A 24,296-nucleotide genomic window follows, 5' to 3' on the forward strand; every position below is an offset into this window, starting at 1 on the left:
AACTCTCATGCTCTAAGGAAAGTGGTTTTGAACTGGGCTGATGTCTATGAATGACGAGCTGTGGGAGCACCAAGGTGGAGACATGTTGGCTGGGTCTGGACGATTGGGTCACATCGAACCAACGGACATATGGCAAAGCGTTCTGGATAAGAGCAAAAGATGATAGAATAAGTGTGAACCTGAGTGACCTAGGGGTATGGGCTGCCAGAGGGATAATGATAGGGCATGGCTTTAGACCCACAAAGAGGCCCGATGGGCAGGTCCTTGAATGCCTGCTGTGTAAGCCCTTTGCTTTTTCTCCTCTAGGCCAATGTTCTCAAACTTTAGCCTACCTCAGAATCAACTGCCAGCTTGATAAAGCACAGCTTTCTGGGCCTCACCCCCAGAGTTTTTGCTTCAGTAATCTGGGGTGGGAACTGATCATTTACATTTCTAACATTCCCAGGTGACCCTAAGGCCACTCCTTCTAGGACTACTGTATGAGTCCATTCTCACGCTGCTATGAAGAAATACCCGAGACTGGGTACTTTATAAAGAAAATAGGTTTAACTGACTCTCAGTTCCTCATGGCTGGGGAGGCCTCAGGAAACTTACAATCATGGCGGAAGGCACTTCTTCACAGGGCAGCCGGAGAGAGAATGAGTGTCGTGTAATGGGAGAAACTCCTTACAAAACTGTCAGATCTCATGAGAACTCACTCATTATCACAAGAACAATATGGGGGAAACTGCCCCCATGATACAGTTATCTCCACCTGGTCCCCCCCTAAACACGTGGGGATTATTACAATTCAAGAGTAAGATCTGTCTCACGCAGATGTTAAAGTTTGGGGAGGATAAATTGAGATTCACATTATGAAAGGGCTGTGAAACAATAACTGTAATACAAATGCAAGTCATTATTTTTAAAGATTTTCCAATTCCCCCAAAATAATATAACATATATATTCAAAGAAATTGTTAATAGGACCAGTAATTTTTTTTCAGGAATACTCTAATAGGCAGTTTTCTTTGTTTCACTGTGAGTTCATAAATAACTCTTTATATGTGTTAGAGGAACAGAAAAAAATGTGAAAGCTGTTAACAGTAAGGAAAATAAATTGAAATAAGTCGAGTGTAAGATTATTCAATCAAGTGTGTTCAGTTAATGTATAAACGATGATGAGTGACATTAAGTTACAAGGCAATTCAGGGAATGTTCACTCAATATCATCTGTGTAAAGTAATGGGAAAAAGCAAATATTCATCTGTTTTATTAATATATGTAATTTAAAAGTCTCCAGGCCTCCTCAAACTATGGCTTCCACTGATATCACACTGACATGCATTTAAAGATTGGGCTGGCAGACATGATAACAGGCCCTCTGTATAACTACAGGCAATCTGCACAGACTTCACCAATTAGTCTAAGAATCCCTGGGGTATTTCACATCCGTTCATGATTATTTCAGGTTTTTGTTGATGTCCACCACCCACAAGCCTCAGAAAAATGTGCCTTTTTGGAGTACGTGTCTTTAGCATCTAGAAAACCATTTCTTGCAGGGTTGCAAATTACATAACCTCTGAAGAGCCTGTAGGTCCTACCTAAATGGAAATCCTGTGGTGTCAGATTCCAGAATGGGGAGGCTGGCTTCTTTCCTTGGTTCTTGCAGCTGGATCCTGGGGATGGGCTGGGGAATGACCAACGAAAAGCCAACAGCCTTTTCCCTTGCTTCATGTCATTTAGATTAAGGCAACTCTTAAAAACGGCCATTATCAGAAAACATACCTTCATGCCACCATAGAACAATACTTACTGTTTTACAAACAATAAATAGACTTGATCTCTTGATCTCAGATATCTTGAAAGCTTTATTGGATTTCTAGTGGTGACTCTGGTGAATGAACTTTTCTAAGAAAACAGACAGGGTGTTGAAAAACAGAAAAGAGGTAAGATATATTCTCCAGCTCCAATGAGACCAGCCACAGCTACACTTGGCTTGGGATCAGTTATCTGCACACCCAGCCATTTTCCAGAGCAGTCCTGGCCTCACCGTAGCCCGCTTTGTGCTCACAGCAAGTTCAGCCCTGCTGTGCTAATTTCCTGGTTGCTTTTCTCTGGCAAGGGGACGTTTGTGAAATTCTCCATTCAAGCTGTAAAGAATGACTTTCAATCTTTTTGCTTTTGATGAGAAATAACAGATCAGGTCACCCTTCCTTCCAGAGCAGCGCAATGGAGGAACATCACAGGTAACAGCCTTTGTGGCTGTGCTCCCAAGAGGAGCTGCTGCCCCCACCCCACTGCCCTGCTGCACAGGTTGTAATGACCTCACTGCATGCTCAAGCACAGGGAGTCGGGGGTGGGGGGTTGTGTATGCATGGCTGTGGGGCGGTTCAAATTCTAATAAATGGATAGTCTCCTCTCAATTAACTCATTGCAGGGAGCCACAAATTCAAATGCTGTAGAACCTCTCCCTTGAACAAGTAACAAGCCTTTCCTCTTTTTGTTGGTTTTCACACACACACAAATGATAAATTTACCTGTAAGTTATGATCTGTGCAATGCTCAAACACTGACCATGTGTTACCAACCCTGCCTGGAAGAGAATATGAAATCCAGCCACATGCTGCAGAGCCATGTGAGTTGATAGAGTTAGAACAGTTGCTTTGAGCTAATGGGAGGTTTTTCCTTCTACCATACTACTAAGGAGACACAATGCCACTGGTGTTAACGCCAGACCTAAATTCAAAATCTCGATGTTGTTGCTTATAAACAATTTTACAATCTTGCATCTTGTAACTAATTTTTTTAATGGTAAACATGCAAAAGAATGACGGAACATTAAATCATTGTCATTATCTTTGATTTCTGTTTCATCTGGTAGTTAGAAGCAAACTGACTGGGATTATGGGCGATATTTGATTTGGGATTAAAACTAACCACAAACAAAACAGGTTTGTGGATAATTTGGAACGTTTTGTTAAAATGTGAGGTTGGCATGTTTCCTTCTAATTCTTTAAAATCCACGAAAAGAAGGGTTTAATTCATTAATTTCTTTTACATCTTGAACATTTCCTTTTAATATAAAATTAAATGCAAAGTAATAAATAAGTACTATGTTCTCTAAATCCTTCCATTTGTTTTAAAAAGCAAAAAAAAGGGTGTCAATAAAAGTTAATTTTTTAATGTAATTTCTTTGCTTATGGTTATACAAATGTTCACTAAAAGTAATCACAAAGTCAATGGAAAAGTTGGGAGGGCATTTATGGAATAATGATGAAGCAGTTTAAAAATGTCAGAAATAAACATCAGTCTCTCAATTTCTGAAAAATATGAGTTGCTAAGGATTCTCCTTGTATTAGTCAAAGTCGTCCAGAGAAATAGAACTGATATGACATACACATAGATAGAGAGAGATGTCAATCGTAGGAACTGTGTAAAGCCTGTCTGGCAGGCCCTTAGGCTGGAACTTAGGCAGAGGCAGTCTAGAGAAAAAATTCCTTCTTCTTTCTGAAATCTCAGTCTGCTCTTAAGGCCTTCAGTTGACTGGATGAAGTCTGCTCACATTGTGAAGGTCAATCTATTTAAAGACTGTAAATGTTAATCACATCTGTAGAATATCTTCACAGCAATATCTAGAATGGTGTTTCACCAAACAACCGGACAGCATAGCATAGCCAAATTGACACATAAAATTAACCATCATGCTACTAAAAGTAGAATTACAGCCATGGTGGCTCACACCTGTAATCCCGGAACTTTGGGAGGCTATGGTGGGTGGATCACCTGAGGTCAGGAGTTCAAGACCAGCCTGGCCAATGTGGTGAAACCCTGTCTCCACTAAAAAAAAAAAAAAAATAGCCAGGCATGGTGGTGGGCGCCGGTAATCCCAGCTACTTGGGAGGCTGAGGCCTGAGGCAGGAGAATCACTTGAACCCGGGAGGTGGAGGCTGCAGTGGGCCAAGATCACCATTGCACTCCAGCCTGAGTGAAAAGAGTAAAACTCTGTCTCAAAAAAAAAAAAAAAAAAAAAAAAAAAAAAGAAGGTGTGCTAAGAGCAAAGTTGAGAATTGTGAGAATTGTGTAATTCCCTCAACTATTATTTTCCCACAAGAAACGCTACTTATTATTTAGTCCTCAAAGAAATGGATTTCTGTCTTCAAGAATGTGTGTGTGTATTTGTAAGTGAGTTAACAAAATAAAGCTACGACTAATAATGACGTTAACTTATAATCTTGATTGGATTATAAAATTTGATTATAAATTTTAAAGGAAATATCTTATTCACATGTACTTTTTAGCCCAAGGACTTGACATATAAATAAAATAAATTATTTTTTACAAATCAAATGGTAGTCTGATATTGGTGGATTATCTTGTACTGAATTAACCTCTGCACAGGTGATTACTATAAATTCTGTTCAAAACATAAATCTATTTCAAGGCACCAAGAGCACCTAAAAGCAGACAAGCACTGGGGCTGGGGAGGAGGTGGCACATGAAGGAAGGAACTGTAGTGGCTAAGATCCACATTTATGCGACTTTTCTCTTAGGACTTTGCCTTGTCTGTAGAACAGGATGGTTAGAACTCACAGAAGGCAACATTCTTATGGCTTACAGTGTTAGAGAAGGTTGTTTGAGGCTATCAGAGAACCTGGAAATTAAGGGGGAAAATCCTAGGAAGGAGGTCACTACAGGCATATAGTGGGGGGAGCTTCCAAAATTACAAATAAATGACCATTAAATCCTTGGCTGAACACTGAACTGTGTATGCCCAAAGAAAACGACAGAGTCCAGCAGAAGGCAACAGCTGGAAGGCTAAAAAAAAAATCTGAGCACAGGTTCCAGTTGCTGCCTGGAACAGAAGAAAGAATTTGGAGTTTGAGTCCTGTCAATAACCTTGTTTAATAGAAAGAGAAACCTGAGATATTTAAAGTTTACCATATGGTATAGCCAATATGACTTTGTTGTGGCTTTTGTTCTTGTCCCAAGAAAACTGATGAGAAATAATGTTGGCAAATGTGGCCTACATATAAGCCTATACACTGATGCATCACAATTTGGTGAACGATGATCAAGAATAATTACCAGTGGATTCTCAGCCATGATCCGTCTGTGCCAGGTGATAAAGCATTTTCATCAAAATGCTCTCTGGTGAATAGCTCTTTTAACTTGTAGAATCATCATGAAGAGCAGCTCTTTTAACTTGTAGAATCATCAAAATGGGGGAAAAGAGAATGAGTGGAACACTAATCATCAAGATCTAGATTCAAATGGCCCTGATAAGTTGAAGAAGAAGTTGAAATTTAATAGAATGCAATTGAATGGACAAACTCTTAGGAAAGAGGACCAGAAAGCATAAAGAAATACAACAAAGCCAGTGATAGACTAGTTGAGTGGTTCTTGAACTTTTGGTATCAGGACCCCTTCACTCTCTTAAAAAATATTTTGGCTGTACAAAACTATAATTTATATGAATTTTATCTGTTGGTACTTAACAGATTATAAACTAAAATTGAGAAATTTTGAAATGTATTTTTAATTTATTTAAATATAGCAAAAAAATTCCATTTTATACTAACTTAAGTAACATATTTTTATGAAAAATAAAATAGCAGCTGACAAGCCTGGCATTATTTTACTTTTTGCAAATCTCCTTAATGTCTGGCTCACTAGAAGACAGCTGGAGTCTCATATCTGATTCTACGTTCAGTATGTTAAAATATCACGTATCACGTGCCCTCTGGCAAACTCTACACTTGTGAAAGCATATGAGTGAAAACTACAAATAACATCCTGATATTATTACAAAAATAGTTTTTACCTTGTGGACCATCTGAAATGGTCTTAAGAACCCCCAAGAATTCCCCCAGAGAAAATTTACATGGAATATAAATATTCTTATGCTCTGGGTCACTTTTTAGACTTTCATTAACATATTTCTTTTCTGCTTCTTTTCCACTGACACTAGTCCTTCAGTCTTCTTCTTTATAGCTCTCAGACCACACATGTGTTTGTCTCTCCTTCTAGGCAAAGTGGGCAATCCAGATGTATCACTTGACTTTCTGACTACTGGAAGAATTTCCCTTCATTATTGCACACCAGGGGTATCCCACAGGTAAGGTAAAAACTTGCAACTTCCCACTTCAGACTGGTTCCAGATCATTGTACAGAAATGTCTTTAAGTCAGGCTTGACTATTTTTCTCAGTCCCCATGAGTACATAGTTGTAGGGTGAGGGAGTTGTACACAATGCAGCAAAACTAGCTGCACTAAGATTATGTGCCAAATGATCATGCAACATACTGGTGCTTTCAGTATCTGCTGAAATCTAATTTTATAATTAATGATGATTAGCTTCTCAAATTTATGGCTCAGTGGGCCATAGGATACCCTGTTTATGATGAAAGCTCAATTTGCATGGTCACTTGATATCTCTAGAACTTAATAGCAAGCCAAGGGCTATTTCTAAAGAAAAGAATAAATATTTTTGGAAGAAGGTACCACTCTGCTTCAAAACCCAAAAGGCCTGCACCATGATTATCTTGATGGGACTTCCCACAATATCCCTAGAGTATCCCCATCTACCATAGAGAATTTGAAAACCTAGGGTCTGCTGTGACATAAAGTCCAAGAAGTAAATAGAAGTGCTTAAAATGCAGACTGGTTTAGCGGCTCCCAAATGTGATACATTGTTTCCTTCAAAAACCCCAGGGTTCCTTTCTTATGTGGTAAGAGTTGTGCAAAATCTAGAAACTTGTCTTTCTTTAGATGTAATATTCTGACATGCCCTGAACTATACGAGTGCCAGAAATTTCTCAGAGCTAACAGGCACATAAATTTTCATTGTGTTTGTATTTCACCTTTGACAGGCATGTATCTCACCAGGTGTTTGGGTTGTCTATTGTTCTACAACAAATCACTAAATTGTGGTGGCTTAAGAGAACAACAATCATTGTATTACCTCTCATGTTTTCTGCACATCAAGTGGGAATGTCTTGACTAGACACTTCTGACTCAGGGCCTCTGCTGTAGCTGTGGTCAGATTGCATCTGGTGTGGGAAAGATGAGGAGCTGAGGCATCTGGAGGAAGGCCGGGAATTTCTCCCTTCATAGAATCTCAGGACTCTTTGTATGATCCTTCCACTTCCCTCCAGCAGGACAATTTTTCTGTTTATACGACAGGTGGAGGCATCAAGCACAAAGATTCTACTGAATAAAATGAAAGCCATTTCCTCTTGCCTAACTGATATGGTTTGGCTGTGTCCCCACCCAAATCTCATCTTGAATTGTAGCTCCCATAATTCTCACGTGTCATAGGAGGGACCCAGTGGGAGGTAATTGAATCATGGAGATGGGTCTTTCTCGTGCTCTTATTGTGATAGTGAATAAGTCTCAGGAGATCTGATGGTTTGGTAAAGGGGAGTTCCCCTACACAAGCTCTCTCTTGCCTACTGCCATGTAAGACGTGACTTTGTTCCTCCTTTGCCTTCTACCGTGATTGTGAGGCCTCCCCAGCCATGTGGAACTGTGAGTCAATTAAACCTTTTTCCTTTATAAATTACCCAGTCTTGGATATGTCTTTATTAGCAGAGTAAGAACAGACTAATACAATAACCTAGCCTTGTGGGATGCAAAACCACTTCTAATGTGCTCTTCTGGTTGAAGCAGTTAGAAAAGCCCACCCAATACCTGAGCCATTTGAGGAAAATATAATCTGACAAACCAGGTATCAAGGGTATCTACTAATTTCTGCTGAACAGGTGCTGTAGCATGAAATTAATATAGAGGTCCAGAGTGATTAGAATGATGAGACAATCATGGTTTAGTTTATGATAGTGTGTAGAAGGGTTGGCCTTGCCCTGAGCTAATATGGCAAAAGTATACTGCTATGCCTTTCAGGTGAAAGTAGATTGTTTCTAGTACCCTATTTATTAGCATAATTGTATATTTTTTTCCAGAAATATAACTGGTGCATAGCCAGGACAGAGCAGATGTTTTTTGCTTTAGAAAAGAGATTGCACCTGGAACAAGAGACGTAATTTAAATCACCACCTGATTGGTTTACAATAGTTTCCTATTATTCTCCTAGACCCCTTCATCTCCTGAGTGAAGGAATAAATGTCTTATTTGGGAAGAAAATAGATATTCCTGAAGCATTTATGTTTTTGGATGTTGGCTACAATTTACCTTGGGGTTCAGTATTGCTTAAATTTAACTTTCTAGTTACAAGTGCAATTCCAAACTCTTATGTTTGGCTCTTCCTACCATAATAGTCTTCACTCCTTTAGTCAGAAGAGTTATTGTAGGAAATCTGCCAGCAGCCAAGTTTGTCTGTTATAGCCAGGCTTTCAGAAACCAAAGACATAATCGTTTTCTTTGTGTTTGTATTCCACCTTTGACAGGCATGTATCTCACCAGGTGTTTGGATTGTCTGTTGTTGTGTAACAAATCACTCTAAATTGTAGTGGCTTAAAAGAACAATAATCATTTTATTAGCTCTCATAGTTTCCGCAAGTCAAGTGGAAAGGGCTTGGCTGGACATTTCTGGGTAGGCTTGCAGACAATGGGACCCACTGTCAGACAGACTTGGGCCCCAACTCCACTTAACCCTTGATCTCTAAATGCCCCCACAGTCATGTTTTATGTCCTCAGAGATTTACATGTTTCAATGCCAGTGGTCAATAATCCCTACAATTACTTGGCATTTTCCTTTCCCAGTTGTTCTAATCAATGGCTGCAGATGTCTTTAAGAAAGCAAAGAAGGAATCTTGTACAATGTATATGTACTTGTTTCAATGACTTACTGTTGTTCTGCAAGGATTTATGAACTGGTTCATGTCACGGAATTGAAACAGTGACAATGACTCTCAATCAAGTGACTCAACTCATAGCTTCATTTCTAGATCTAGATGTGCTTGTTTGTTTGGGGTTGTATAGATTAAGCAAGACTTTAAAGCCTATCCATTTACTAGAGTCCTAGGGAAGCTCATGCTCAATTAAGCACCAACAAAGATTTCTATGGGTCAGACTTGTGATTATACTCTAGCCTACTAATTATTTCAGCAACAGATCACTTTTTTCTGGTGATTAATTACTGACACTGGAGATTTCATCAAATCCTAAATTGGGGAGCTTCTTTCAAAGCCATAATTTTTCAAAGCCTTCATCATAGGCTTACCAAAGATAACAGCATTTGCTCCCAAGCACTTTACAAAAATATGCGTACTTTCATAGCGAATATATTTTCCAGTCTTTAGTTAAGGGAGTATCCTTGAGCCCTATTCTGATTACTTGGTAAAGGTGAAGATAAATGAGTCACACAGCAGAAAATCAATTAAAAAGTCTTATATCCTTATGTCTTTGGATTCCCCCTCTACATATATATGAACATATATTTGAGTATCAAGGAGCTATACTAGGAGAAAAGTACCTAGGTAGTACCTTAATAATCTAAGAAATGTTTAATATTTTAACACCATTTAGTGTAGACATCATTGAAACAAGCAGAAAACGTAAAAAGGTGGAGTTTTGGCCCATGTCTGTCCCACAGTGGGCTCAGTGTCAACAAACCTATTTCATCATTATAGTTTCTTATCAAGTGTATTTTATTGTACTGCAAAACGAATTGTATTTCCCAAATTTCCTTGAGGCTAAGGTTTCGTACGTTAATTAAATAAATTTGTGCTCACTCGAAGTACCTACGTAAGATTTGAAGGAAAGGAGAATAAATGCCAACCATCAGCTACAACCATTGTAGTAACCATTAAAACCAAGCAACAAAATAAAATAAGCTGAGGCAAGAGCTTTGAAATAATTTATTATGAAGTATAAAACTAAAATTTCCAAAATTTTTAAGTCACACAGACAAAAAGTATGAGCTTTTCTGCAGTGTTAATAGGAAAAGTGAAATATCCTTTGTAAGTTATCTTCCTCTATGTTTTATAACATACATCTTAGTGTTTTACAAATAATTTGTAAAATAAATGTGAAGAGAAAGGATATTTGTTTTAAAAAATTTATTGATGAAATATTTAATCAAAATCAAATGTGAAGACTACTGATCTAGGAGACAAAGAAATAGGCCAACAATAATTATGTGGGGGGCATTATAGTTTAAAAAGCAATAGAAATTTAGATATATATGTCTATATATATGTTAAGTAGAAAACACAGAGGTACACACACATATGTATATACATACACATACATATTTCTGTGAGCACTGTCATTATCAGACTATTCAATGCCAGTGGCCCAACATTGAAGCCTTTATCAGATATGAACATATTTCTAAAGTCATTTATTTCTATTCATCAGGTCAATGATTTTTGGCTGCCACTACTATGACAAGGATATTAAGTTATGAAAACGTTTATCAATGTTCTCCTTCAAAAGAAATTTGAATGATGCAGGTAATAGACATGATGAATTGTCGGCCAAAAGGGCCAGGTGAAGCTCATCAGAAACAGTTGAAATTCTGCATGAAATTTTCAGCCAGATTTCCAAATATGTAAGACCTTCTCATTGACCAAGCAGCTTAATCTCAAAGGCTAATGCTTCTTATTCTCAACTACATCATATGATCTTGTGATAGATATAACAACAGCAGTCCTGAAGATGATTTCTGTAAAAATAATTCTGGAAAGGACTTTAAAATTCAGAACTTTTATATTAAATTAATTTCATCAATGAATATTAGACAAGGCCAGATAGCTTTTCTAAGAAATATAAATTGCCTAATAGTAATGCATTGAGATAGTGCATATTATACAAAAATGTAATACCATGTATGGTACTTTCCAATAGCCTTCTTATTTTCATGAAAATGAGATCTAAATTGCTGAACAGAAAGAACAGATCAATTTTTGCCTGAGCTATATTTTTAAGAGTCAAAATTTAATGGAGATACTTTACCCTAAATCCTCTATTACTAAAAAAAATTTTACATTCTTTTCTAGGCATTTTCATCACACTCTGACAGCAGAGATGATGAATCTTAGAACATAAAATCATTAGCCAAAATGACCTCCCGTAGAGATGCTCAAATAATAATAGAAAAGGGATATTGAGTGATTAGAAATTATCTAAAAGATTTTCACAGATGACTCTCTATTTTCTTCAGCATTCTTTAAAATGCAATAAAAAACAGAAATAAAGGGAAGAGCTGCCTCTGTTATCTAAACTATGTCATATACAGTAGAAATTTAGACCAGTGAAAGCCTACATACGTGGTAAAGGTGTCTCCTTAGAGATACTTCACCATATGGAAACCTCAGGAAACAAGATGCTCAAGACATTCACTGTTCAGAAGCCAATAACCACTTCCATGCATCTGAACATCGCTTACTCTGAGATATACTACTTTGAGCTGATGTGAAAATTTGCAAACCGTATATTTCAGTGAAGTCTGCCAGCCTCTAGCATAGTGGTATTTTTATTACTCCAATAAACATTGTTGCTTTTACTCTACAATATGAATTATATAAGTAGCATATATATGAGTATCAAGGAGCTATACTAGGAGAAAAGTACCGAGATAGTACCTTAATTTTAGTACTATAATTCATAATAAATATTGAATTGCGCTTCTTGTCAGTGATAATATGTTTCTAATCATAGAAGGTGAGGGATTCTATTTCTCCTGTATTTTCCATGAATGATAATGATATCAGAGCAATAATAACCCTACACTCTTTATTCAGTTTTTACTATATGGTACCAGATTTTTAAAGTTGTTTTGTGCATTATCTCATTAATTTTCAGAACAACCCTAGGAGGTTGGTATTATTTCAGAGCTCTATTACAGATAAGGAAATGAAGGCTAAAGAAAGGTTAAGCAAATTGCTCAAAGTTAAATGGCTGTGTCCGATCTGCACTTCGAGCTACGTGATCCCAAAGCCCATGCTCTTAACCACTAGGTTATTATATTGCTCTTCCTTGAAGTAAAATGTTATGTCTGATACCAAGGCAAGAAAAGCTTTTTATAGAGCCTGTTTTTCACCTATGACTCATTTTTTCTGCCATACAATTTTAATAAGGACATGAAGGGTCCTGGGGTGAGCACTTTCCAGACCTCTCAGGCTGTTCTTGATGGGCGCTTGCAGAGATCATGACTCATTCTTCCACTGTCATCCTGCAAGTGGGCTGTGTGTGACACAGCAACCCAGAATCCAGACTCTTTCTCCACAGCTCATGCCAATCTGCGACTGAAGAAATTCGGGGATGGTTTGGACAGTGGGATTGAGGAAAATAAATAAAATCTATAGAGCACTTTTTCTGTTAGGTAAAAGTAGACAGAATCATGGCATATAATAAATTATTTATAAATTTACATAATAAAATATTTATTATGCAAATCCAATCATAAAATTCTGCATCATCAAAAATAAGGTGATATTTACAAAGAAATTCTTCTTAAAATACACTTGGAACATCTACCTATAAATATTATGTATTAAACAAATATTTCTAGTATTTTTTAAGAGACGACATATTATTTGTTTACCAATTTCAGAAAGACATTATTTAATGAATAAGAATCCTCTACATTTACTAAATCAAACCCAAAATGATTTTTATTACCAGTTTACAATGTTTATATATTTAACCATGAAGAGGTTATGACAGAGAATGGTTTAAGTTGCATTTTCCTCAGTGATTTAGAAGGAATTCAGGTAGCAGTGCCTATAAAAAGTATGGGTTCATTTTCTTAGTTTTCAGTATAATATATGCAAATAAAATAAAAGCAATCAGTACACTAAAATTGCCGCTAAATAGAAGTAGTTAAGTTGAAAAGAAATTTAATTTTTTAAATCAGATAATGCCATTTCTCTGGCAAATTATACTGATTAAAGATAAACACTTTGTTTATAGCTTTGTTGAATTTATCAATGACGTGTGCAATAATTTTTCACAAAAAATTTTTATTGCATTTTTCTCTTTTTAAAACTTCTTGTAAGTAGCAAATTAGTATGTTTGATGTTATTATATAATAGTAACACTGTTATGTTTGATGTTGTAATAGTAACACTGATCTTTTCAGAATTCTGAATAAGATGAGTTTGGACTTTTCCTTTAAGGAAGTCATCAGTGTAATATAGAAAAATCTCATACATGTGAGTTTATTCTTCCTTTTCACTATAGCATAATCCTGGAAAATACTTCAAGATGGCAATTCTGGCTAACATCTCAGCACTATACAGGTATATGACTGGCTATATGCCATAAAAGGAAAGGTTCAATTAAACTTTCACAGCTCCAAATATATATGTCTTCAGGAAAAGTCACAGTAGGCCTTACCAAATTCAGTGTCATTTAAAGTTATTCGATAAAGAATATGGTAAAAATTTAGATATATGAAAAATTATACATAACGGGCAAAAATACAAGTAGTCCAATGGGCAAATTCTTGGCTACTGGAATGCAAGGTAGGTTGTAGCCACAAAAAATAAGCTATTGTTTGATACTCCTCTCACTCAGTTCATCTTATCATGTGCATTTTCACTGTATCAGTTCATATTGTATTGATACCATTTTTATTATTTTATCTCTTTACTGGTCTAGTTGTCACTAAAAAAGAAAGCAATTGATAGCAAGGATGTAGGTGCTGTTTTTAGCATAAGAAAATTATTTGGAACAGAAAATTTTAAAAATTAGAAGCATGAAAGTACTTTTAATCTATACAAAATTCAAATGGAAAACCAATTTATTGATTTTCCATTATTTCCAGGTGTAATAATAATTTCTAGGGTGTAATAAAGTATTTCAAATTCTAGGGTGTAATGATAATAATTTCTAGGGTGTAATAAAGTATTTCAAATTCATGTCATAAGCTAATGTAGTACAAGCAGTTGATGTCCAACAAATGATGATTGTCAATGGATGAATGATATGAGCATATTTCTGGGAAGCATTTTTCAAAATAAGGACTGACCCAACATTTCTTCCCACTATAGTTTTCTCTCTCTTCAATTTCTTTAAACTTACAAATGCAGCTTATCTACATTATCAATAATGTCACTACAAATAAGACCTCTTTTAAGTCTCTTTTAAGTTTCTTTTTTTTTTTTGTCCATCACTGCCAAAATGATTATTTCATTTTAGCTACCCTGCCAGAGAAATTTGAGCAGATTATTTATTTTCTGCAAAAAGTGCTCCACCTCATCATCCAATTTGAGTTCTCCCAGTTAGTCCACTGGCAGTAGTACACTTTTTTCTATAATGCAAAACAAAGAGGACAGATTTTTTGACCGCGAAAAATAAAATCTATTCTACATTAACAATAGCATATGATATATGCCAGAAATATGGCAAAAAGACACCCATGACTCTCTTGGTATCCCTCACAGTTCTTAACATTTTGTTGAAGTACTGTGTTGTAAAGGTCCTTGAATGTGGACTCTGTGAATTAGGTTAAGTTTCTAAATATTTTTGAGTCTTGGTTTCCACACCAGATGAGAGGTATATTAAATCAAATATGATAAATAATCCACAGGGTTAATAATATATGTGTAAAAACATTAACAAATTATAAAATTATTAAAGTGATGGTGAAAGTACTATTATTAATGATGATGATTGTGTGACTAACTACTGCAGCAAAAACAAACTTGTATCTAATCCTATCTGTGGACTGCTAAGGGGCCATGTGGTACATGTTTTGAAGAACACAAAGTTCTATTACAGACTTAAGTTGGAACAAAGAAAATCACCCCCTGATAATTACAAAAAGACAATATCATGTAGTTTTAATATAGTTTTATACTCTTGTGAGTATACAGACACCCTACTAGCTTGAAATTCAATTCAATGACTATTTTTGTTTGTTTGTTTTTCCCTTTTTTACCACCCTATCTGTGACGGGCACTGTGCACATAAGTCAGACACTCAGAGGCCAGTTTTTCCCACTGTCCATATTCTGACCCAAAGTGCTCACAATTTTCTACTTTGTCCTTTGGATGAAGTGCCAGAAAAATGATGAAAGACAAGAGAACACTAAAAACAAAACAAAACAAAACAAAAAATTAACATGGAAAAAATTGGAGGTATGAAAGGCAGTTTAATAAAAAACCAAAGCCTGTATTTTGATAAGATTTAAGTAAGTAATGAAGTTTCTCTCCACAGAGAAATAAAAAACTGAACAAAACCTGAGGGAGTTCTGTTATATGCAAACTTGCTGAAACTCACAATCTGTATATTGCTTGGAATGGTTTTTGACTATTAAAAACTCCTTCCACAGTGTGTGTTTCCTAAGGCTGCCATAACAAATCAAATTGAGTTGCTTAAAACAACAAAATTGTATTATTTCTGGGTTCTGGAAGCTCAAAGTCATAATCAAGGTATTGTCAAGCCATGCTCCCACTGAGGGCTCTATGGAAGAATGCTTCCTTGCCTCTTTTGGGTAGCTCCTGGAAACTGCTGACATTGCTTGGCATATAAATGCATCACTCCAATCTCTGACTTAGTCTTCCCATGGCCTTCTTTCTTTATGTCTCCCCTGTGTCTCTGTATCCAAATAGCCCTCTTCTTTCTCTTATAGAAACACCAGCTATTAAACTTAGGGGCCACACTAATCCAGTATGACCCTAACTTGATTATACCTGCAAAGACGCTATTTCCACATCAGGTCACATTCACTGGTGCCAGGCACTAGGACTTGAAGATATCTTTTGGGGCAGATAACTTAACCCACTATCCAAGTAAAAGAAGGATTCTACTCAAGCCTAAATTACATAACAGGGGACAAAGATCAATAGCACAATATGGATTTAAAAGGAGTGATTAAAGAATTAAATTAGATCTATATGTGTTACCTGAAAACTGCCTACATAATACAATCTGTAAAATAGGAGGGGGAAAAACTGTTTTCATATACTATTCTCTCAACACAGAACACTTCTTTTTTTATTTCAATTTGTTTGGGGTACAAGTGGTTTTGGTTACATGGATAAGTTCTTTACTGGTGATTTCTGAGATTTTAGTCAACCCATCAGCCAAGCAGCATACACTGCACCCAATATGCAGTCTTTTATCCCTCACTCCCTCCTAACCATCCACCCCACCCCGAGTTCCCAGAGTACATTAGATCATTCTTACGCCTTTGCATCCTCATAGCTTAGCCCCCAACCCACACTTATAAGTGAGAACATATGCTATTTGATATTTGGTTTTCCATTACTGAGTTACTTCACTTAGAATAATGGCCTCCAGCTCCATTCAAGTTGCTGCAAAAGACATTATTATTTCGTGCCTTTTTGTGGCTGAGTAGTATTCCATAAAAAACACAGAGCACTGCTGTGACCACATGTGTGGGTTTTTTTCTCCTCTCACACCAACCAATTCTCCAACACCAGCAGAGCATCCTAAATCCCGACACTAACTAGAATTAGTGCAGGCCCCACCAGGTTAAGGGCTCAGTCCCACAAGACTGCCCCCTACTTCAGATGTCAATTGCAAATCCCAGATTGTTCTACCTATGCTTCCAACCCACCAGCTATAAACCAGAGGTTCCCACAACACTCGTCTTGGGTTCAATTATTTGCTAAAATGTCTCAGGACTCAGGAAAACACTTTACTTATATTTACTTGTTTATTATAAAAGGACACAAATGAACAGCCAGATAGAAGAGATGCATAGGGCCAGGGATGTGGCAAGTTCCACAGCTTTCATGCCCTCTTAGGGTGCACCGCCTCCCCATATCCTCCACTTGTTCACCAACCTGAAAGCTATCTGAACCCTGTAGTTCAGGGATCTTTATGAAGGCTTCATCATATAGGCCTGAGCAATTATTAACTAAATTGTCAGTCCCTCTTCCCTTCCTGGAGGACCAGGGAAGGGGGCTGAAGGTTCAAAGCTTCTCATCATGGTGTGTTCTTTCTAGTGATCAGTCCCCATCCAGGAGCCCACCAAGAATTGCCACATTCATAAAAAGACATTTCTATCACCCAGGAAATTCCAAGGGATTAGGATCTGTATCAGGAACCATGGTCAAAGATCAAATATAAGGGAGAAAAAAGTGCTTAGCATCCTTATAGCTCAGAAAATTACAAAGGTTTTAGAAGCTCTGTGCCAGAAACCAGGGGCAGAGACCAAATATACATTTCTTTTTATATCACAATATCTCACAGTCTTTTAGAAAAATACTACATATTGGTCATCTTTATAGCCACATAAAATAAAGGTTAAGAGAAAACATTAAATGTGAACCAAATAATAGTTGAAATAAAGAATACAATAGATGGGTTAAGTAGTCATATAAATCCTGTGAAAATAAGAATATATTATTCAGAAAGACAATACTATCTCAGAAATCACGAGAAAAGACTAAGCTGATGTAAAATATTAAAAAAAGCTAAAATATATGGAAGATTGAAACAGAAGGCCAACATCCAAAAGATAGAAGGCTTTAAAGGATGGGGAAATGAAAACAAAGAGGAGGAAATATTTGAAGAAACAATGAAAATAAATTTCTAGAATTAAAAGAAGATAAAAAACCTCAGGCTGAAAGGGTTTATATAGTTCCAGTATGAAAAAACAGCACACAAACAGATTATGGTGAAGTTTAAGAATATCGAAGACAGGCCCTGGCCTGTTGTGGGGTTGGGGGAGGGGGGAGTGATAGCATTAGGAGATATACACCAACATGGCATATGTATACATATGTAACAAACCTGCACGTTGTGCACATGTACCCTAGAACTTAAGTATAATAAAAATATGTTTTAAAAAAAAGAATATCAAAGACAAAGAGAAAATTAAAAAACCTTCCAGAGAGAAAGAAAGGATTGATAAGGATGATGGACATAAAACCTCCATTTCTGAATTAGATTTTCTCTGTTTTAGCTACTAGGAATTTAACCAAAAAAATAAAAGATCCATAAATGCTGAAGCATCTGGTAAGCTTACAGCAGAGTCTACTGATGGAACATAATTTCAATTCTTTTTTGTAAACCTCGAAATGTGTAATTATTTAGTGCAAGTATTTTTACACATTCATTTTTCTCCATTCAAAGAACCTTTCTTTGGCAAATATTTTATAAGACAAAACTTGATTCTTTTGAATGTTTCATCAGACAGAAATGCTGAAAATTATAATCATTCTTAATTTAATTCCATTGTGGTCAATAATAGAAATTCATTCCATTAAAAGTAGTGATACTGACAAAAATTCTTCCCAGAAGTCAATAAACTCAAATAGCCATTGTTGGTTTTGCAAATTAAAACTTTAACCTTTCAATCTCTCAGTTTTTAATTTGTGCAGCTCTTCCTCTGCTCCTATAGTAATAAATTTTAGTGTCCTCTCATTCGTGATATATTTTTAACAATTGCAATTGACTTTGAAAGACAAAGTTTTGTAGTAGTTGATACATTGAATAATTTGATGAAAGATTTCCAAGTAATTTTAAACGATAGACAACCAAAATTTACTGAACTTGTTTACCAAAAAAAAGTTCACTTTTTTTGTGGGACACTAAGATTGTAAGAATTTTACAAAGTAGCTCTTCAAATCCAGCGTTTCTAAAATCAAACTAGTGTTGGGCCATAAAAAAAAAAAAACATGTACTGTCACGATGAAGTATTTCTCTTTCAAAATTCAACATTAGCTTCTTCACAAATATGAGGTAATTCATTTACTCAACCCATAAATATAAGACATATTTGTAAACCTCAACAACTCTTGATTTCTACTTCAATCACTAGAGAATCAAAGATGTTCAGATTGATATCTGTGAGTTGCAGGTATCAGTGTACTGTGTGCATTACAGCCAGTTCCAAATATGATTCAGCTTGATAGAACTAGGCAGAACTTTTTTACCATGATACTATACTCCACTAAAATTTATATTAGAATAATTTTATCTTAAATATTGGATTTTCAAAGTAAGTTTAAAAATAAAAATAAAAATAAAACAGGAGTGGTGGCCTCACTCCTATGATCCCAACACTTTGGGAGGCCAAGGCAGGGGGATCACTTGAGCCCAGGAGTTTGAGACCAGCCTGAGCCACATTGCAAGACCTTGTCTCTACAAAAAAAAAGTTTAAGAAGTAGCTGAGTGTGTCGGCATGCACCTGTAGTCCCAGCTGCTTGGAAAGCTAAGGCAGGAGGATCACTTTGGCCCAAGAATTCTAGGCTGCAGTGAGTTATAATTATACCACTGTACTCCAGCTGGGGTGAGAGAGTGAGGCCCTGTTTCAAAGTAAATAAAAAATAAACAAAATTAAAGTAAGTTTACAATAAAATTTGCAGTAATGGCAGGCGTATTGTCTCTGAATGAGCACTCAAAGCTGTATTTGGATTTCATAAATTGGTTGAAAATATTAAGCTATTATTAGAAGTAATTTGACTGATTTTCTGTTAGAATCACCCTGAAAACACTAATAAAAAACTGGCATTCTTCAATTGTTTGCCAAGTTGTTCTTTCAATGATAGGGCCAACTTACTAACAGCTGTCTTTCACTTTTCATACATTTGCAGGAAACCACAGAATCTAAAATGTGTAGAATAAATTTATAGGAACAATCGTTTGATCTAAATGAAAGTTATGTAATGAAAATTTAACACACTTCCTGCTACTGCTCCTGTTAAATTGCATCCATGGGCATTTTTTAATAGTTAGCAATTTTTGAAGTATATGTTCTTGCTTCTTTAGCAACTTCGTATCTTCTGTTTTTCATGTGATTAGTGATAACATGTTGGCACCGACAATGGATGGTAAAGATTTCATAACGAATCTGTGCAAGTTGCACATTTATTATCAACTTTCTTGGGAAATAGAAAATCAGTCCTTAATTTTAACTAAATGTGTACTTTCAATATTTTTAGCTCTTTGTTGTCAAAAGGGCTTTAGTGAAAAATCATTACCAAATAATAAGAAGCAATAATAGGATTACACCTTAAAATTATTGACAAAACCACTAAGCAAGTGTTTTCAGATGGCTGATGATACACTTGACTGCAGAACTTCTCAACCTCTATTTCCCAGACATATTTTATGGACATCTAAATTATAATTTTCCTTGTTTCCAGTTGATTTCCACTGACTCTACCAACTCATAGTCTGCTGGCTTCCGTGCTTTTCACAGGGCATTGCACAGGCCACAACACAACTTGCTTCTCCTACCACTATCCAAGCAATTACCAATGACCAAGTACCCTTCATTTTATTGATAAGTGCCCTGCTGGCTGACTATAAAGTGGAGAAGCTAGCTGAGTGCATCTAGCAAGGGTGGAAAACAACAGGGTATCATGGATCCTGTTTCCCATTTGGCCACAGGTTAAAGTGAGAACTGTGTTTACTGCACATACAGCTTACACACCAAAAGATGAGACTAGCTGGAAAAACAAAGTGAGGGTCTATCTATCCCATCCAGTTTTATTTTAATGTAACTATAAATTATAATAGTCTATTTAAAAATAGTAAATTCATAATGAGTACTAAACAGGATGCCAGGGCAATAGTTTAAAGCTGTGATCATAGGACATCTGTTAACTCTATATTTAAGGTTTATTATAATAAACACAATAATAAAGATACCAAAGAGGCTTAAAGTTTCAATGTGTTATTAAACAAGGAAGATATTAATATGGTCAGCCCTTCCTGTTGCGGTTAGAAGGTGAGATTATGACCAGGTCCCAGCTGTCCCCTAGTTACATCTTATTTCAGGAAAAGTATCTAAAAAAAACCCATAATCAGTCACTTAGAAACTACAAACTCAAAAACTGCAATTCTCACAGTTCCAAAGACTAATTTAAAAATAACCTTTCGAAATAAAAGAATCCCTGTTTTAGGATAGTAGGTTGAGCACGGAAGTATTAACCATCTAGCAGTTTTAGGTCATCCAAAATTAGACATGTCCCACATTGGCTACACGATTTGTTACAAATGGGACTGGAAATTTTTGGTGTAACTTGGAGTTCATACTGGGAAATCTGCAGTGCAAAGGTCCCTTCTGCCAATTCTTCTCAAAGAAGTTAGAATTGTGGTTACCTGGCTGCTTCTGTGATCTAAAACATCATAATCTTACACTTCAAATTTCTAATTCAACAGAGTAGATAGGCGTGCAGTATAGAGCTATGCCATTATGACAGCTATAAATCTGTTTTTTAACTAATGGTAAAAGAGAACAAAGGTAAGCTTACTGACATAAGCAGTTAATCAATTTTGAACCCAGACCATTCTGAGGTCATCAAATTTGTTCCCGTGTGGCTTTTTTTTCCCATGGACTTCAGAAAATGATACATATCCATAACTTCCTGAAGTGCTTTGAAATAAAAGGTGGCCTTTTTTGGGAAAAGTCTAGAGAGAAGACAATCATGCCACATAAAGCGGAGACCATAATAGTTATTTTCCAGATCCATAAAAATTCTATTTCTTTCTAGGCCATCCTCGATAATGGCTTGGTTTCATCATTAAAATTGTTCTCTTTGAGTCAAGATAATATAGTTCCCAAGAGCTATGTCATACCATCAGAAAAAAGATAAACTTGGGCCAAACATGATGAGTTTCTCCTCATGAAGGTAAGGATTACTCAGAAGATTCTGTTTTCTTACTCAGAAGCCATGCTCTTTAAACTATCAGGTGTTTTGTTTCTATGTTTTAAATAGAGATTGTATGTGGTGGTGTGTGTTACTCCAAGAGTTTCATCCTGTGACTAGTAGCTTCATTCTGTGAGCTTACAGTCAGATCTATGGAAAGAATGGGGGATTCAATGTGTGGCCTCAGCCTCCCGGGTTCCATAGTTTGATCCCAGCCAAATGCATGCAAATGATGTCAGAAATGAAGTTTGCATTTGGGGCCTGGATGGCCTATTTCCTCTTCTTCCCTTACCCCTCTCAGACACGTTATTGCTTTTTCCATAAAAATCTCTGAAGTCTCCTGCATTGAGGGCTTGTTTAATCCCCGAGTGGAGACATACCACATTCTTCTGCTCACAAACATGCAGGCCACACATTTGTGAGAAACTCCTCTATTCTTTATTCATGTTCGAGCACATCCCAAGAGACTCTAGATGGAAGAGGTTATCTCTCACTCCAGAAGAGATGGTGGCCACCTCTGAGCTTGTTTCCAGCTCCTGTTGACAGCATAGAAGAGGAAGAACAGGCATGGGTGGCTCCTTTGCTATGTGTAATGATTCTCTCTATGGCTTTGGTAGGCAATTGGAAAGGCCTTACACAGGGTATTAGGCCCTTTGTGGCATAGCCAGACCTCTTGCACAAAGAACCAGAGAAACAGAAGTCCTCAAATATATAACCAGAAAGGTATGGTGACAAAATAAGAAGGGGGAAAAAAAAACAGACACTGAAAAAAGTAAGTTTTCTGGCCTAATAACACCAAGGTCTCCAATACAATTCAGTTGATTGGTGGAACATAACTACCCTTTCTCTAAACACCTAGATGTGTGGTGGGCAATTGCATGGGGCTCTCAATATTTCTTCCCTCTGTTCAGACATAAATGTATCAGAGAGGAGGTTCCCTAGAAGAATACAAGGTAGCATTCAGGATTGTGTGCAGTTCATATTCTGCTGAGCCAGGAAAAAAAATTAGACTCATTAGAAAAGGGAATACACTTGCCTACCTCACAGTTTTGTCTTTTGTTGTACCAGTATGAAAGTGATTTTTAAATCAAAGTAAATTACAAATGAAGAGAATGACTTCTCCCCAATGTTATCTTTGCACACTCAACACATGGTTGGACATTTCATCCTATTTGACATTTTGAAAATTCTGTACAATATAATAGAACATCAAGATCAGCTATAAATATCTCCATAGTCCTGGAATAAAATCATCCAGAGCTCCAAATGCCATTGGCTTCGAAAGAGCAAACTACCCAGCAATTTTATCTGGAAGCCTGATGTTAGTGCTCCCCCAGTTTATCTTGCACAGAAAGCTGTGCATTGCCAAAGTCATGGGTGTCAAGCTTGAACAAGATGGTCCTGGGCATGGGAGGAAAAGACTGACTGTCCAGACCTGTGAGGGAAATTGACTTGGGAAAGGTCAGCCTTAAAGCAATAAGGTAGGATCCACAAAGGAACTGAACATTTAAATCACAGCCTTGAGTATTATCAAGATGACATCCTTAGACAGGGGTCATCATTCTGCAAGGCACCGTGCTAGCCTGGGAGGCTTCTGAAGGCAAAGAAAGAAATTAACTTCTGGCTGGGTGCAGTGGCTCACACCTGTAATCTCAGCATTTTGGGAGACTGGGGCAAATCACTTGAGGTCAGGAGTTCAAAACCAGCCTGGCCAACATGGTGAAACCCCGTTTCTACAAAAATTAACTGGGCACGGTGGCGCATGCCTAGAGTCCCAGCTACCTGGGAGGCTGATGTGGGAAAATCGCTTGAATCTGGGAGGCAGAGGTTGTAGTGAGCTGAGATCACACCACTGCACTCCAGCCTGGGTGACAGAGCCAGATCTGGTCTTTCTAAAAAACAACAACAACAACAAAAAGCAAAACAAAAAAAACAAAAAAAAAAAGAAGAAGAAGAAGAAGAAAGGAAAAAAAAAAAAAAAAAGAAAGCAACCTCTACGAAGTTTGAGCCATTTGACAAACCTTCAACTTTTCCTTTTCCTTCAATTCTCATGACAATTTTATGAGGTTCCTTGGGAGGATTCTTAACATATCTTCACATGAATAGACTTACTGAAATGACTGATATTCTCCATTCTCTTTGTATGTGTTTGGATGTTCATAGCCAGCAGGGAGGCTGTTTTCTTGAATGTTCACCAGTTTTTGCTCTCTCCATTTGAGGTCTTTGCTTACCAAACACCAGTTGCATTTCCTCACAAACCAGTTGCAATTATAATTAGATAATTTAATAGAGTAGTAATGAATGTGTCAATGAAATAGAGTGAAAAATAAAGAAAGCTGTCATTTCTATGAAAACTAAATTGAATAATCTGGAAGGACTCATTTTAAAGGCGAGTCACTAAAATTAAAAAAAAAAACTGTAATCAAATTAGCCATGATCTAGACAACTATAAAAGAACAGGTATGAGGATAATGGAAGTGGGAATAAAGGTCTAGGAGGATTCTGTACTTAAACTTATTTCAGTCCATTTAAAAACAAGAAGAAAAATAAGAAAACTTTGGCAATTCATCAAGGATATTGGTTTTGAAAACATAGAAAAGGAAGGACTCTAAGGAGTGGGCCACATTTCAAGAAAAGTCCTTAATCTTGCATGAAAATATTGGATAATAAACACATTTTATGTGCTTAAGAAAGGATTTCGAGTATAATACATACTATTGCTTGTTCCCACTTGAACTGGTTTTCTGATTGACTAACCAACTAGTGGCCCTGCTTGTGT

General features: G+C 36.6%; 2 long non-coding RNA genes across 2 annotated transcripts in view; one reads left to right on the forward strand and one right to left on the reverse strand.

The window, feature by feature from the left end:
* The window catches only part of LINC02343 (long intergenic non-protein coding RNA 2343), a 268,250-nt gene that overhangs the window by 75,415 nt on the left and 168,539 nt on the right, over positions 1-24,296 (forward strand). The window contains exon 2 of the long non-coding RNA NR_146542.1: positions 6,010-6,097. This is a non-coding gene — a long non-coding RNA (long intergenic non-protein coding RNA 2343). The remainder of the gene's footprint in view (positions 1-6,009; positions 6,098-24,296) is intronic.
* The window catches only part of LINC00457 (long intergenic non-protein coding RNA 457), a 205,236-nt gene continuing 192,932 nt past the window's right edge, over positions 11,993-24,296 (reverse strand). Inside the window, exon 3 of the long non-coding RNA NR_047036.1 lies at positions 11,993-12,187. This is a non-coding gene — a long non-coding RNA (long intergenic non-protein coding RNA 457). The remainder of the gene's footprint in view (positions 12,188-24,296) is intronic.

Source organism: Homo sapiens, chromosome 13, assembly GCF_000001405.40.
Source record: "Homo sapiens chromosome 13, GRCh38.p14 Primary Assembly".
NCBI lineage: Eukaryota > Metazoa > Chordata > Mammalia > Primates > Hominidae > Homo > Homo sapiens.